Below are 12,925 nucleotides of genomic sequence, written 5' to 3'. Positions count from 1 at the left end.
TATGTATATATGTATATGTGTGTGTGTGTATATATATATTTATACACATATACATTCCATTAGTTCTGTCCCTCTAGAGAACCTGACTAATACAGAAACCATCAGGTCCTGGGCTTTTCTATGCTGGGAGACTTCCTGTTACAGCTTCGATCTCATTACTTGTTATTGGTCTATTCAGGTTTTGGATTTCATCCTGGTTCAATCTTGGTAGGTTGTGTGTGTCCATTTCTTCTATATTTTCCAATTTATTGGTATATAGTTGCTCATAGTATCCAATAATGATGTGAATTTCTGTAGTATCAGTTGTAATGTCTCCTTTTTCATTTCTGATTTTATTTATTGGATCTTCTCTCTGGCTAAAGTTTTGTCAATTTTTTTTAGCTTTTTGAAAAACCAACTTTTTCATTGATCTTTTGTATTATTTTCTTTATTTCAGTTTCATTTATTTCTGCTCTGATCTTTATTTATGTTTCTACTAATTTTGGGTTTCGTTTGCTCTTGCTTTTCTAGTTCTATAAGATGTATCATTAGATTGTTTATTTGAAGTTTTTCCTTTTTTTTTGAAGTAGGCAGTTAAAGCTATAAAATTCTCTTTTAGTACTGCTTTTGCTGTATCTCTTAGATTTTGGTAGGTTGTGTTTCCATTATCATTTGTTTCAAGAAATTTTTAAATTTCTTTCTTAATTTCTTTCTTGACCCACTGGTCATTCAGGAGCATTTTATTTAATTTCCATACATTTGTATAGTTTCCAAAATTCCTTTTGTTATTTGTAGTTTTATTCTGTTGTGGTTAGAAAAGATACTTGATATTATTTCAATTTTGTTAATGTTTTAAGACTTGTCTTGTGACTTAATATATGGTCTGTCCTTGAGAATGATCCATGTGCTGAGGAAAAGAATGTGTATTCTGTAGCCATTGGATGAAGTGTCCTGTAAATATGTATTAGATCCATGCAGTCTATAGTGCAGATTAAGTCCAGTATTTCTTTGTTGATTTTCTGTATGGAAGATCTATCTAATGCTGAAAGTGGGGTGTTTAAGTCTCCAGCTGTTATTTTATTGGGGCCTATCTCTCTTATTAGCTCTAATAATATTTGCTTTCTATATCTGGGTGCTCCAATGTTGGGTACATATATATTTAAAATTCTTATATCCTCTTGCTGAATTGACCCCTTTATCATTATATAGTGAACTTTTTTGTCTCTTCTTATAGTTGTTGTCTTAAAATCTGTTTTGTCTGACAAAAGCATAGCTACTCCTGCTCTTTTTTGGTTTCCATTGGCATGGAATTTCTTTCTCCATCCCTTTATTTTCAGTCTATGTGTGTCTTTATAGGTGAAGTGTATTTTTTGTAGGCAACAGATCAGTGGGTTTTTTTTTCATCCATTTAGCCAGTCTATGTCTTTTGATTGGAGAGTTTAGTCCATTTACATCAATGTTATTATTGATAATTAAGGACCTACTCTTGCCACTTTATTTATTTTCTGATTGTTTTGTGGTCTTCTTTCTCTCCTTCTTTCTTGTCTTCCTTTAATGAAGGTGATTTTCTCTGGTGATATGATTTAGTTTCTTGCTCTACTTTTTGTGTATCTGTTGTATATTTTTTGGTTTGAGGTTACCATGAGGCTTGTAAATACTATCTTATAAACCATTATTTTGAGCTGATAACAACCTAACCCTATTTGCATAAACAAACAAGCAAAAAAAATAACTAATAAAAACTCTATGCCTTAACATCGTCTCCCCAACTATTAAACTTTTTGTTGTTTATATCTTATTGTACTGTCTATGTCTTGAAAAGTTGTTGTAGTTATTATTTTTTATTGGTTTGCCATTTAATTTTTCTACTTAGGATAAGAGTAGTTTACACAAGGAAGTTACAGGGTTATAATATTTTTTGTTTTTCTGTGTACTTTCTGATACCAGTGAGTTTTGTACCTTCAGGTGATTACTTATTGCTCATTAATGTCCTTTTCTTTCTGATTGAAGTACTCTCTTCAGCATTTTTTGTAGGACAGGTCTGGTGTTGATGAAATCCCTCAGCTTTTGTTTGTCTGGGAAAATCTTTTTTTTGAGATGGAGTCTTGGTCTGTCACCCAGGCTGGAGTGCAGTGGCATGATCTCTGCTCACTGCAACCTCCACCTCCTGAGTTCAAGCAATTCTCCTGCCTCAGCCTCCCCAGTAGCTGGGATTACAGGCCTGCGCCACCATGCCTGGCTAATTTTTATATTTTTAGTAGAGACGGGGTTTCATCATGTTGGTCAGACTGGTCTCGAACTCCTGACATCGTGATCCACCCACCTCGGCCTCCCAAAATGCTGGGATTACAGGTGTGAGCCACTGCACCCGACCTTGTCTGGGAAAATCTTTATTTCTTTTTCATGTTTGAAGAATGTTTTCACCAGACATACTATTCTAGAATAAAAGTTTTTCTCCTTCAGCACTTTCAATATGTCATGCCCCTCACTCTTGGCCTTTAAGGTTTCCACTGAAAAGTCTACTGCCAGATGTATTGATGCTTCATTGTATGTTATTTGTTTTTTTATCTTGCTGCTTTTAGGATCCATTCTTTAACCTTGATCTTTAGGAGTCTGATTATTAAATGCCTTGAGGTAGTCTTCTTTGGATTAAATCTGCTTGGTGTCCTATATAACCTTCTTGTATTTGGATATTGATATCTTTCTCTAAGCTTGGGAAGTTCTTTGTTATTTCCCTTTGAATAACTTTCTACTCCTGTCTCTTTTTCTTCCTCCTTCTTAAGGCAAATTACTCTTAAATTTGCCATTTTGAGGCTATTTCCTGGATCCTGTAGGCATGCTTCATTGTTTTTTATTCTTTATTCTTTTGTCTTCTCTGACTGTGTATTTTTAAATAGCCTGTCTTGGAGCTCACTAATTCTTTCTTCTGCTTGATCATTTCTGCCATTAAGAGACTCTGATACATTCTTCCTTATGCCAATTGCATTTTTCAGCTCCAGAATTTCTTTTAGATTCTTTTTAATTATGTCAATCTCTGTTAAATTTATCTGATAGAATTTTGAATTTTCTGTCTTATCTTGAATTTCTTTGAGTTTCCTTAAAAGAGCTATTTTGAATTATCTGTCTGAAAGGTCACCTGTCTCTGTTTCTCCAAGATTGGGTCCCTAGTGCCTTATTAATTCATTTGATGAGGCCATGTTTTCCTGGATTATCTTGATACTTGTAGATGTTCATCTGTGTCTGGGCATTGAAAAGTTAGGAATTTATTGTAGTCTTCACTGTCTGGGCTTTTATTATCTGTCCTTCTTCAGAAGGCTTTCCAGATATTTGAAAGGACTTGGGCATTGTGATCTAAGTTCTATCTGCTTTGGAGGGCACCCCAAGCCTAGTAATGCTGTGGTTCTTATAGACTCATGGAGTTACCACCTTGAACAAGATCTAGAAGAATTCTTTGGATTACCAGGCAGAGACTCTTGTTCTCTACCCTTTTTGTCTCCCTAACAAATGGAGTCTCTCTCTCAGTCCTGAGCCATCTAAAGCTAGGGATGGAGTGACACAAGCACCCCTGTGGCTACTACCTCTGTGACTACACTGGGTCAGACCTGAAGTCAGCACAGCACTGGGTGTTGCCCAAGGCCGGCTGTAACTACTCCCTGGCTACTTCCTGTGTCTGCTTATGGCTCTGGGGCTCTATAGTTAGCAGGCGGCAAAGCCAACCAGGCCTGTGTTCTTCCCTCCAGGATGCTGAGCTCCCCCAGGACCCTCCTGGGTCCAGAGGTGCTGTCCAGGAGTCAGGGACTACAATAAAAAACCTTAGAAGTCTACCTAGTGTTCTATTGTATCGTGCCTGAGCTGGCACTCAAATTACAAGATGCAGTTCTTCCCACTCTTCCCTCCCCTCCTCCAAAAGCAGAGGAGACCTTCCCCATGGTCATCACCACCAGAAGCCCATGGGCAGTACTGCCAGACTACCACTATGTTCTCTTAAGGCCCAAGGTCTCTTAAGTCAGCTTGTCATGAAGGTTGTCTGGCCTGAGACTCATCCTTCAGGGCAGTGGGCTCCCTTCTGGCCCACGGAAGGTCCAGAAATGCCATCCAAGAGTCAGCTCTTAGAACTGGGGACTCCAGGAGCCCACTTGTTGCTCCACCCCCCAATAGCCGAGATGAACCTGAAGCCAGCAAGTCTCAGAGGCTCACCCAAGGCCCTAGATGTAGTACCTGGGTATCGCTGCTGATTATTCAGTGCCCAAGGGCTCTTCAGTTAGCAGGTGATGAATGCTGCCAGGAATGGGTTCTTCCCTTCAAGGCAGTAGGTTCCCTTCTGGCCCAGGGTGTGCCTAGAAGTGTTGCCCAGGAGCTAGGGCCTGGAACAGAGGCATTATGACTCTGACCCTATCATGCTGTGGCTGAGCCGGTATCCAAGATGCAAGACAAAGTCCTCCCCACTCTTCTTTCTCCTCTCCTCAAGCAGAAGGAAGGGATCTTTTTTGGAGCCACTAGTTGTGCAGCCTGGGGTTAGGGGAGAGGTGATGTCACCACTCCTTTAGCCACCCTGGTAGTTTGGTAGATTGCATGCCCCTCTAGTCCACTGTTTCTGGGCCCAGTTCAGCACTAGGACTCGCCTAGAGTTGCAGTCCTTGTGGCCTAAATTGCCTTTCAAATTCACTTAGACACCCAGAGCACTTTAGCCTGCAGTGGTGAAGTTTGTGGGAACTCAAGTTCCAACCACAAGGACCTGTGATTCCCCTCTGGCTAGGGCTGGTTTAAATGTTCCCTCCGTGGGTGGGCATCAGCTGAATTTGGTCCAGTTTTCCTTTCTGCTCTAACCGGGCAGAACCGTTTACTGCCTCACAATTGCTGTGCTCTCCCTCCCACAGCATGCAGAGGCACTCTGCGCACCAGGTGGCCACTGCTGGGGCTGGGGGAAGGGTGGTATCAGTGCTTCAGGACTGTTTTTTCTACCTCTTCAGTGCCTCTTTTAGCAATACAAAGTTAAAAGCAGGTAGTGCAAGTGCTCACCTGATTTTTGGTTCTTATGAAAGTGCTTTGCTTACATAGATAGTTGTTAAATTGATGTCCTCTTGTGAGAGGATGATCAGTGGAGGCTTCTCTTCTGCCATCTTGCTCCACCTTCTGGGCTTTTGCAAGAATCTTTATGTCCTTTGCCTATTTCGCAAGGGTTATTTCCACGGAAACTAGATGATACATTCTAAAAATGCTTAAGTGGGCCCACATAAAACATAACTGGTGGGAATATGCTGAAAATCAATGGGGGTACCACCATGAACCCCCTAATTTGGGAAACTTGACAATTTCCCCAGGATGTCTCACATACCTAAGTGAAACACAGGCACCTGATGTTTTGTTTTGTTTTATTTACTTGAGACAGGATCTCCTTCTGTTGTCCAGGCTGGAGTGCAGTGGCAAAATCATAGCTCACTGCAGCCTTGAACTCCTATGCTTAAGCGAATCTACTACCTCTGCCTCCCGAGTAGCTGGGACTATAGGCATCCACCACCACACTGGGCTGATTTTAAAAAGTTTTTGTGGAGACAGAGTCTCACTATATTGTCCAGGCTGGTCTTGAACTCTTGGCCTCAAGTGATCCTCCTGCCTCAGTCTCCCAAAGTGTTGAGATTACAGACATGAGCCACTGTGTCAGTCCCATCAGATGTTACTGACCGAGTGAGGGCACCTTAGGTGTGATAGGTAACAATTCATATATTAAATCTTGGGAATTCTTTACTTCTCTATTTTCTAAATTAACACAATTAGAAGCCCTAATAGTTTCTTCTCACATACCAGTGAATGGTCTTGCATACGTCCTTGTGCACAAGGACCCCACTTTGGAGACAACTGCAGCAGGGGATAAAAACAACTTTCAGGCCCCTTGTCAAGTAGGGGGATCACATAAGCCAAAGGCAATAGCATCCTGGGCTGGTTAGCTTATTTGCTGACAAAATACCATCACTGAAACTGGTGTATTCATTTTCCTGGGGCAAAGGTCAAGAGCCTTTTTCTGTTCTCATAGGGGTTTATAACCCCAATAAGGTTAAGAATCACTGACATCTTGTTTTGTTTCAAAACTTCAGGCTTCCGTTAGACTCTTAGTCATTGTTTTGATAAAGCTGAAATTGCCCTTGATCATATGATAGCCTTAAACTTAGCCAATGTCACACAGTCCTGATTATTTGTGGAGAGAGTAGGTTTTCTTAATGCCAACCTCATAGTCCTGATTATCTGTGGAGACAGTAGGTTTTCTTAATACCTGACAGTAGCTTTGTTGTGCCTTCCTCCTGGTTTCTTACCACAGTACCAGTCTCAGCCTTCTTTTCTTTCATTTTCTATTCCAGCATCTCTGGCTTTTATTTAACCCACTGTATGGGTGGCTTTCTATTCTATTTCAGATCTTATTTTTATGCCTTCAAATACTATGCTTTTTTTCTTTGATATTTTGTTCTTTAGTGCTGCCATTATTAAGCTTATAAAAATCCAGATCATGCATTTCCTATGGGTTAATGAAACATAAATAATTCATAAAAGCTGTGATTGCTCTTATTTATTTCATGCAATTTCAATTGCATGACAGCCCTGTAGCTGATGGGTCTGTGTAATTTAGATCTTCATTGATTTCTGTTCCTTAAGTGGTTTTACGGTACAGTTACTTTCATTCTCCTGACTTATGTTACCACAAGTTAGCAGCTGTATGCTTTTCTTAAACTGTTGGTGATTTTCATTTGTGATGGAAGTTGCAGTATTTCTGCCGTCTGCTGACTTAATTTTTTTGTTTGTTTGTTTTTGTTGTTGTTTGTTTTTGTCCCCCAGGTTGGAGTCCAGTGGCACATTCTCAGCTCACTGCAACCTCTGCCTCCTGGGTTCCAAGTGATTCTTGTGCCTCAGCCTCCCGAGTAGCTGGGGTTACAGGTTTGTGCTACCATGCCCAGCTAATTTTGTATTTTTGGTAAAGACAGGGTTTCGCCGTGTTGGCCAGGCTGGTCTTGAACTCCTGTCCTCAAGTGATCTGCCTGCCCTGGCCTCCGAAAGTGCTGGGATTACGGGCATGAGCCACCATGCCCAGCCTCTGCTGACCTAATTCTTGGTTATGAAGCCTGGTTGTAATTTAAGACTCCTGTAAAACCCCCAGCCAGGTGTTCAGCATTGCAAGGTATATAGGGTAAATATGTGTTAAATAAAAGAGTGTTTTATTTCTATGATATTGTGTTGTCTCTCTCTTTCTCTGTTTTAAAATTTTTTTCCCTCTTTACTTTGCACCATTTTTATACCATTTTATTTTTGTTATAGCAATAAGATATCGTGTGTGTGTGTGTGTGTGTGTGTGTGTGTGTGTGTGTGTGTGTGTATGTCTGTTTAATACCCTTCATCTACCAGGACAAACCTACAAATGGGGAAGAGGGAGGCAATAAAGAGCCCTCAGAAAAGTAAAGTTTAGAAAGTTTATACATTTATATTTTCCTTGAAATATCAGAATTTTTAAATTTTTAAATTTTTAAATTTCATTATCTTTTCCTCCCAAATGTACATATTATTTTAAAACTTAGGTTTATTAAAAAACAGCTATCTCATCATGCACCTTTATTATTCATTATCAACTCTTTCCCCCTACATGTCTATCATTTTTTCATCAGTTGACTAGTACTAGCTTGTATTTCACTAGTTGGCTCATGTACTCTTGAGGGAAATGTTTTTCCTGCTAGTTTTTTCATTTTTCATCTTTCATATTGCTAAAAGTATTACAACTGCTCTGTAAATACCCAAATGAAACAATTATGGAAGGATAGATAGTATAAATAGTGTAACACAATGAGTGATCTCACAGTCATTATCTGCTACTTTGACCTTTTTCTTTTCTTTTTGCCTGAGACTTCTTAATAAAGTTTCTTAGGGCAATGCTAACATCAGTTATCATTTCTTGAACACTTAATGGCCACTCAGTCAAAGGAACCCAGCAGTCAGAAGAATTATTTGAAGCCTCTTGAAGCAATTGGGCTGCATCAAGCACTCTCTGTTTCCAGGGCACTCAGTGAATATTTCCAGTATAACTCTTAACTCATTGTATCATTCTTTTATCTATTCACATTTGCTCCTGGAAGGCAGGAAAATGTCTCCAGCAGAGCATGGCTCACAAGGTATTCTTTTATTTATATTTATTTATTTATGAGACTGAGTCTTGCTCTGTTGCCCAGGCTGAAGTGCAGTGGTGCAATCTTGGCTCACTGCAACCTCTGCCTCCTGAGATCAAGCTATTCTCGTGTCTCAGCTGCCTGAGTAGTTGGGATTGCAGGCGTGTGCCACCACACATGCCTGTTATTTTTTTTTTTTTTTTGTATTTTTAGTAGAGATGGGGTTTCACCGTGTTGTCCAGGCTGATCTCAAACTCCTGGCCTCAAGTGATCCACCCACCTCACCCTCCCAAAGTACTGGGATTACAGGCATGAGCCACCATGCCTGGCCAGTATTCTTTAAGTATTTGATTAAATGCCTTGTTTTGCACCACTGTTTCGAGAAAACAACTTCTTCGTCCTTCAGTTCAGTGTTTCTCACCCAGAGGCTGTGTGTGTGTGTGTTGGGGGGTGGGGGGAGTTGGGGGGTAGTTTCTATGGCTTTATTCTCAAGGGCCTGAGAATTCAGTGTACACCATTTCATATACTCTTTTTATTAAATGAAAAAGCATATTTTGAGTCATCAGGAGGGATGCTTTAGCAACACTGATCCACTACAGTGATAGCAATTAACACTAAATTCAGTATTGCTGAAACATGCCCACAGGGGCTTCTTACAGGCATGTTCTCAGGAGATCTGAAAGTTCATGTTTGAGGATGTTGCTCTCAGGCACAGTTAAGATGCACCTTTTTCTTGGAAATGCCTCCCTCAATGCGCCCAGTCACATGCCCCCGTAGCACTTACCACATCGTCTATTATGACTCTTATGGGCTTTCCCACCAGCTCTCTCACCCCTCTCTCCAGAGTCAGAACTCTGCTTCCGTAATATTTACTTATTTTACAGCATTCACGGAACTCTTTAATAATTATGCATTGACAAGTCTTTCTCTTCTACTGGACACTAAGCATGTGCAGTTCAGGGTTATTCAGCCTTGTGTACCCAGCACAGTGCTTGCTCCGCGGACTAAGTGCTCATTAAGTTGGTCAAGTTGAGTCAAGAGGTGAGTGTGTCAGGCTCAGGACAAACACATGTTTAAGGCCTTCACATTCTTTTGAATGAGACTCATTGTGGTGATTGCTTTTTCATTTCTTTTTTTTTTTTTTTTTTGAGGCAGAGTCTTACTCTGTCATCCAGACTGGAGTGCAGTGGTGCCATATTGGCTTACTGCAACCTCTGCCTCCCAGGTTCAAACAATTCTCTTGCCTCAGCCTCCGAAGTAGCTGGGATTACAGGCATGTGCCACCACACCTGGCTAATTTTTGTATTTTTAATAGAAATGGGGTTTCACTGTGTTGGTCAGGCTGGTCTCAAACTCCTGACCTCAGGTGATCCACCCGCCTCTGCCTCCCAAAGTGCTGGGATTATAGGCGTGAGCCACCGTGCCCAGCCACCTCTGGAACTTCTGACTGTCCAACTTCAAGTTAGGGTTCCCATGACTCCCTCTTTGGGTTTGAATGATTTGCTAGGGAGGCTCACAGAACTCAGGGAAACACATTTACTGGTTTATTGTAAAGGTTGTTACAAGGGATACAGTGAAGAATACATGAGGTAAGCTATGGGGAAGGAGTGTAGAGCTTCCGTGCCCTCCCCGGGTACAACACCCTCCAGGAACTGCCATGTGTTCCGGAAGCTCTCCCAACCCTGTCCTCTTGGGCCTTTTATGGAGACTTTATTGGATAGGTATGATTGACAACCATGTAGAAATGTGACTGGACAAAAAGGGTATGAACAAACACTAATAGACTGCATGAGGGAAACCCAGCAAGGCCTGTCTGTTCAGATCCTTCTGGCCTCTCTGTGCAGCCTTCCTTCTTCCAGGGTTTGGGGCAGGACCCCTTCTGAAATGGGAGTCTTGTGACCTACAATCAGACAGGGTAGGTCAGAGAATTTTTTTATGGCTGGCTCCTACACAGCAAGGTGGGGAAGATGCCTGTCTTTGGGACAAGAAGGAGCAGGTTAAAGGAGATCAGGAGAAGGTCAGAGAGATTATGTTTTCTGAGGCCTGCTCATGAGGCCTTAAGGCGCCTCAACAGTATAACAAAAGCTATGGGAGTTATGAGCTAGGAGCTGCGGACAAAAACCAACATGTATGTATGTCATAATATCACAGATGGTAAGCATGGTTATTTTCTAATGTGTCTAATTTCCAATATGCTTAGTCCTGTTTCTGTTTTTAGTCTGTTTTATGTCACTTGGTTTCCTCATGTGCTTAGTTATATTTAACTACCTGTTTGTCATTGTGTTTTATAAGTTATTTATTAGAGTGCCAAGTCTTAGGATGAACCTAAGACACAGAGTTCTGTGGGTGTTTCCGGGGATATGAAGAACAGTTCCAGTCTGGGTCCTCCAGAACCAAGCAGGCCCACAGTTTGAAGTTCCCTGGCTCACCCAGGTGTAAGGCTCAAAGGTTTATGAGCCTTATTTAATCATGGCCTGGTTTATGGGCATTCTTTATCAGGATGGGTCTATTTTTAAATTTCCTTTTTCTTTTCTTTGATTTGGAACCACTCTGGCCTTCTCTGTAGTCCTATAAATTTGAGGACAGGCAGTTTTGATGCCTTTGGGCCTAGAATCTTGGCTCTCTTGTTCCCGTTTCCTGAGGCCACAGAACGGAAGCTGAGTGTACTTGAATGGTGGCAACTGGCTGTTACTCGTGTAGGTATCCCCCAAGATTGACCCAGGAGTTCTTGCTCTCCTTAACTCTTCAATCTTTTAAAGGTACTTCTTCACCCTCCTCAAGAAGAATGTATTGTATCTAGGATTTTTCTTTTCCTTCCTTCCCTCCCTCCCTCTCTCCTTCTCTCCCTTCTTCCTTCCTTCCCTCCCTCTCTCCCTTCTTCCTTCCCTCCCTCCACTACTTTCTCTCTCCTCCCTCCCTCTCTCCTTTTTCTCCTTCCCTCCCTCCCTCTCTCCTTTTTCTCCTTCCCTCCCTCCCTCCCTCTCTCCTTCCCTCCTTCCTTCCCTTCTCTTCTTCTCTCCCTCTTTCCTTGCTTTCTCTCTTTCTTTCCTCTTTTCCTTCCTTTCCAGCATGATAGTTCTGAATAACTTAGCCCACTAATACTAGAAACAGGAGATTTAAAAATCTATTTAGAAATAGTAAATTATTAACAACTGACAATAAGCTTTAAAATGGGCATCCCCTTTTAGGATTCTTTTAGATTCGTCAGTCAAGGCAGATAACATAGATCATCAGTCAGTATAAAAATATGTCACTTACATATTTCCAGTAAACAGAACCTTAAAAAATGACCCACAAGTATAAAACCTTTCCAAGAAATGAGTAACTTGAATGATTAGCCTAACTTACTAGAATTTATTCTTTACCCTTACCATCAAGATACTTCCTAAGGCAAGAAGTCAAACTCAAACTGGCTTAAGCCATGAAGGGTATTTGTTGACTCAAATGGAAAGACTTGGGATGGATTACTTCAGGAATAGCTGGATCCAGGAATTCAAATATTGTCATTAGGCATAGTGCCTGTCTACCTGACCTTCAGTCTCTGACAAGCTCTCCTTTGGTGGTGAGATGGATTTTAGGAACTCCGGACTCACAGTCTATGCTTGAAGTCACTGATCTCCAAACTTTGTTGATTATGTACCCAACAGTAAAAGTTGAGCATAATAGTCCCAATGTGTATATATTTCTTTATATATGATATGCTACTGGATACTACTTTTATGTGTTATATAATGTATATTCTTTGTTATGGTGTACATATGCTGTAAGTTATATTGCTGTGTTGTATGTATATTCTATGTTGTACTAATTATGGAGTTCAATTTTTAGTTTTTAATATAAATAATAAAATAGAAATACTAATATTTTTTATACTCCCAATGGATTGTTTTCGGCACTCCACTTTGGGGACTACAATAACAGTCCTGTGAACCATGTCTCATTGGTTCTTTTTGGCCTACCTTGAGTCATGTGCCCATTCCTGAGTCCAGAGTCCTTGAAATAGTAAAAGCAAAATTTTATTAATATAAAGTGACAAATATCTGAGTAGGCTTAAATAGAGAGATGCTATTTATCTTTTTGAAGCTATTTATATTCTGGAATCATATAATCACTGATATTTTATCCAAAAAAGGAGTCATAGTCCTTCTCTCAGTACAGAGTTACAGAACAAAGATTCTCTTCTTCCATAACAATCTAATTCCGTTTGTTTATACTAATTTTCTGTAATGTCATACCTGGAGTATCATGAAAATGTCCTGTCTGGTTTTTGTTCATATACTCACTCACTTACAATTCATACACACACACTCACACAAACATAAACATACATACTTTCTGTAGTGACAGATGAATGCTCTATGTTAAGATGTAGGAATTGATGAGTCTTGTAAGTAAAATCCAATTTTTATAATTCTTGAGATTGACCATTTTGTTTTTTTTATTTTGTTTTTAAATTTTAATTTTTTTGAGAGGGAGTCTCGCTCTGTCACCCAGGCTGGAGTACAGTGGCGTGACCTTGGCTCACTGCAACCTCCATCTCCTGGGTTCAAGCAATTCTCCTGCCTCAGCCTCCCGAGAAACTGAGATTACAGGTGCCCGCCACCATACCCAGCTAATTTTTGTATTTTAGTAGAGATGGGGTTTCACCATGTTGGTCAGTCTGGTCTCGAACTCATGACCTCAAATGATCCACCCGCCTCGGTCTCCCAAAGTGCTGGGATTACAGGTGTGAGCCACCACGTCTGGCCGAGATTGGCCATTTTGAACAAGATGGGTGGCTGTGTGGAAAGGTAGGAGGTAGAAGG

At 40.7% G+C, this 12,925-nt stretch overlaps 1 protein-coding gene across 8 annotated transcripts in view, besides 1 other annotated feature; it reads left to right on the top strand.

The window, feature by feature from the left end:
• Positions 1 to 12,925, top strand: part of MCOLN2 (mucolipin TRP cation channel 2) — a 71,531-nt gene that overhangs the window by 18,275 nt on the left and 40,331 nt on the right. Inside the window, exon 2 of one of the 8 annotated variants that reach the window (NM_001330647.2) lies at positions 6,805 to 6,903. The exons of 5 other annotated variants lie outside the window; for them this stretch is intronic. The gene's annotated coding sequence lies outside the window, so the exon portion shown is untranslated. Of the gene's footprint in view, positions 1 to 6,804; positions 6,904 to 9,244; positions 10,036 to 10,361; positions 10,817 to 12,925 lie in introns of those variants that run through there. 2 more of the 8 variants (XM_011541188.4, XM_011541187.3) reach the window with 2 other exon arrangements.
• Positions 8,908 to 8,987: an enhancer, noted in NCBI's record as "active region_1261". NCBI's record gives its function as "activates an Ori minimal core promoter by ATAC-STARR-seq in GM12878 lymphoblastoid cells {active_cell/tissue: GM12878}" and the evidence as "EXISTENCE:reporter gene assay evidence [ECO:0000049][PMID:35858748]".

This window comes from Homo sapiens, chromosome 1 (assembly GCF_000001405.40).
Source record: "Homo sapiens chromosome 1, GRCh38.p14 Primary Assembly".
Lineage (NCBI taxonomy): Eukaryota > Metazoa > Chordata > Mammalia > Primates > Hominidae > Homo > Homo sapiens.
Note: the sequence above shows the minus strand (reverse complement) of the source record. Positions and strands in the feature narration are given on the sequence as shown.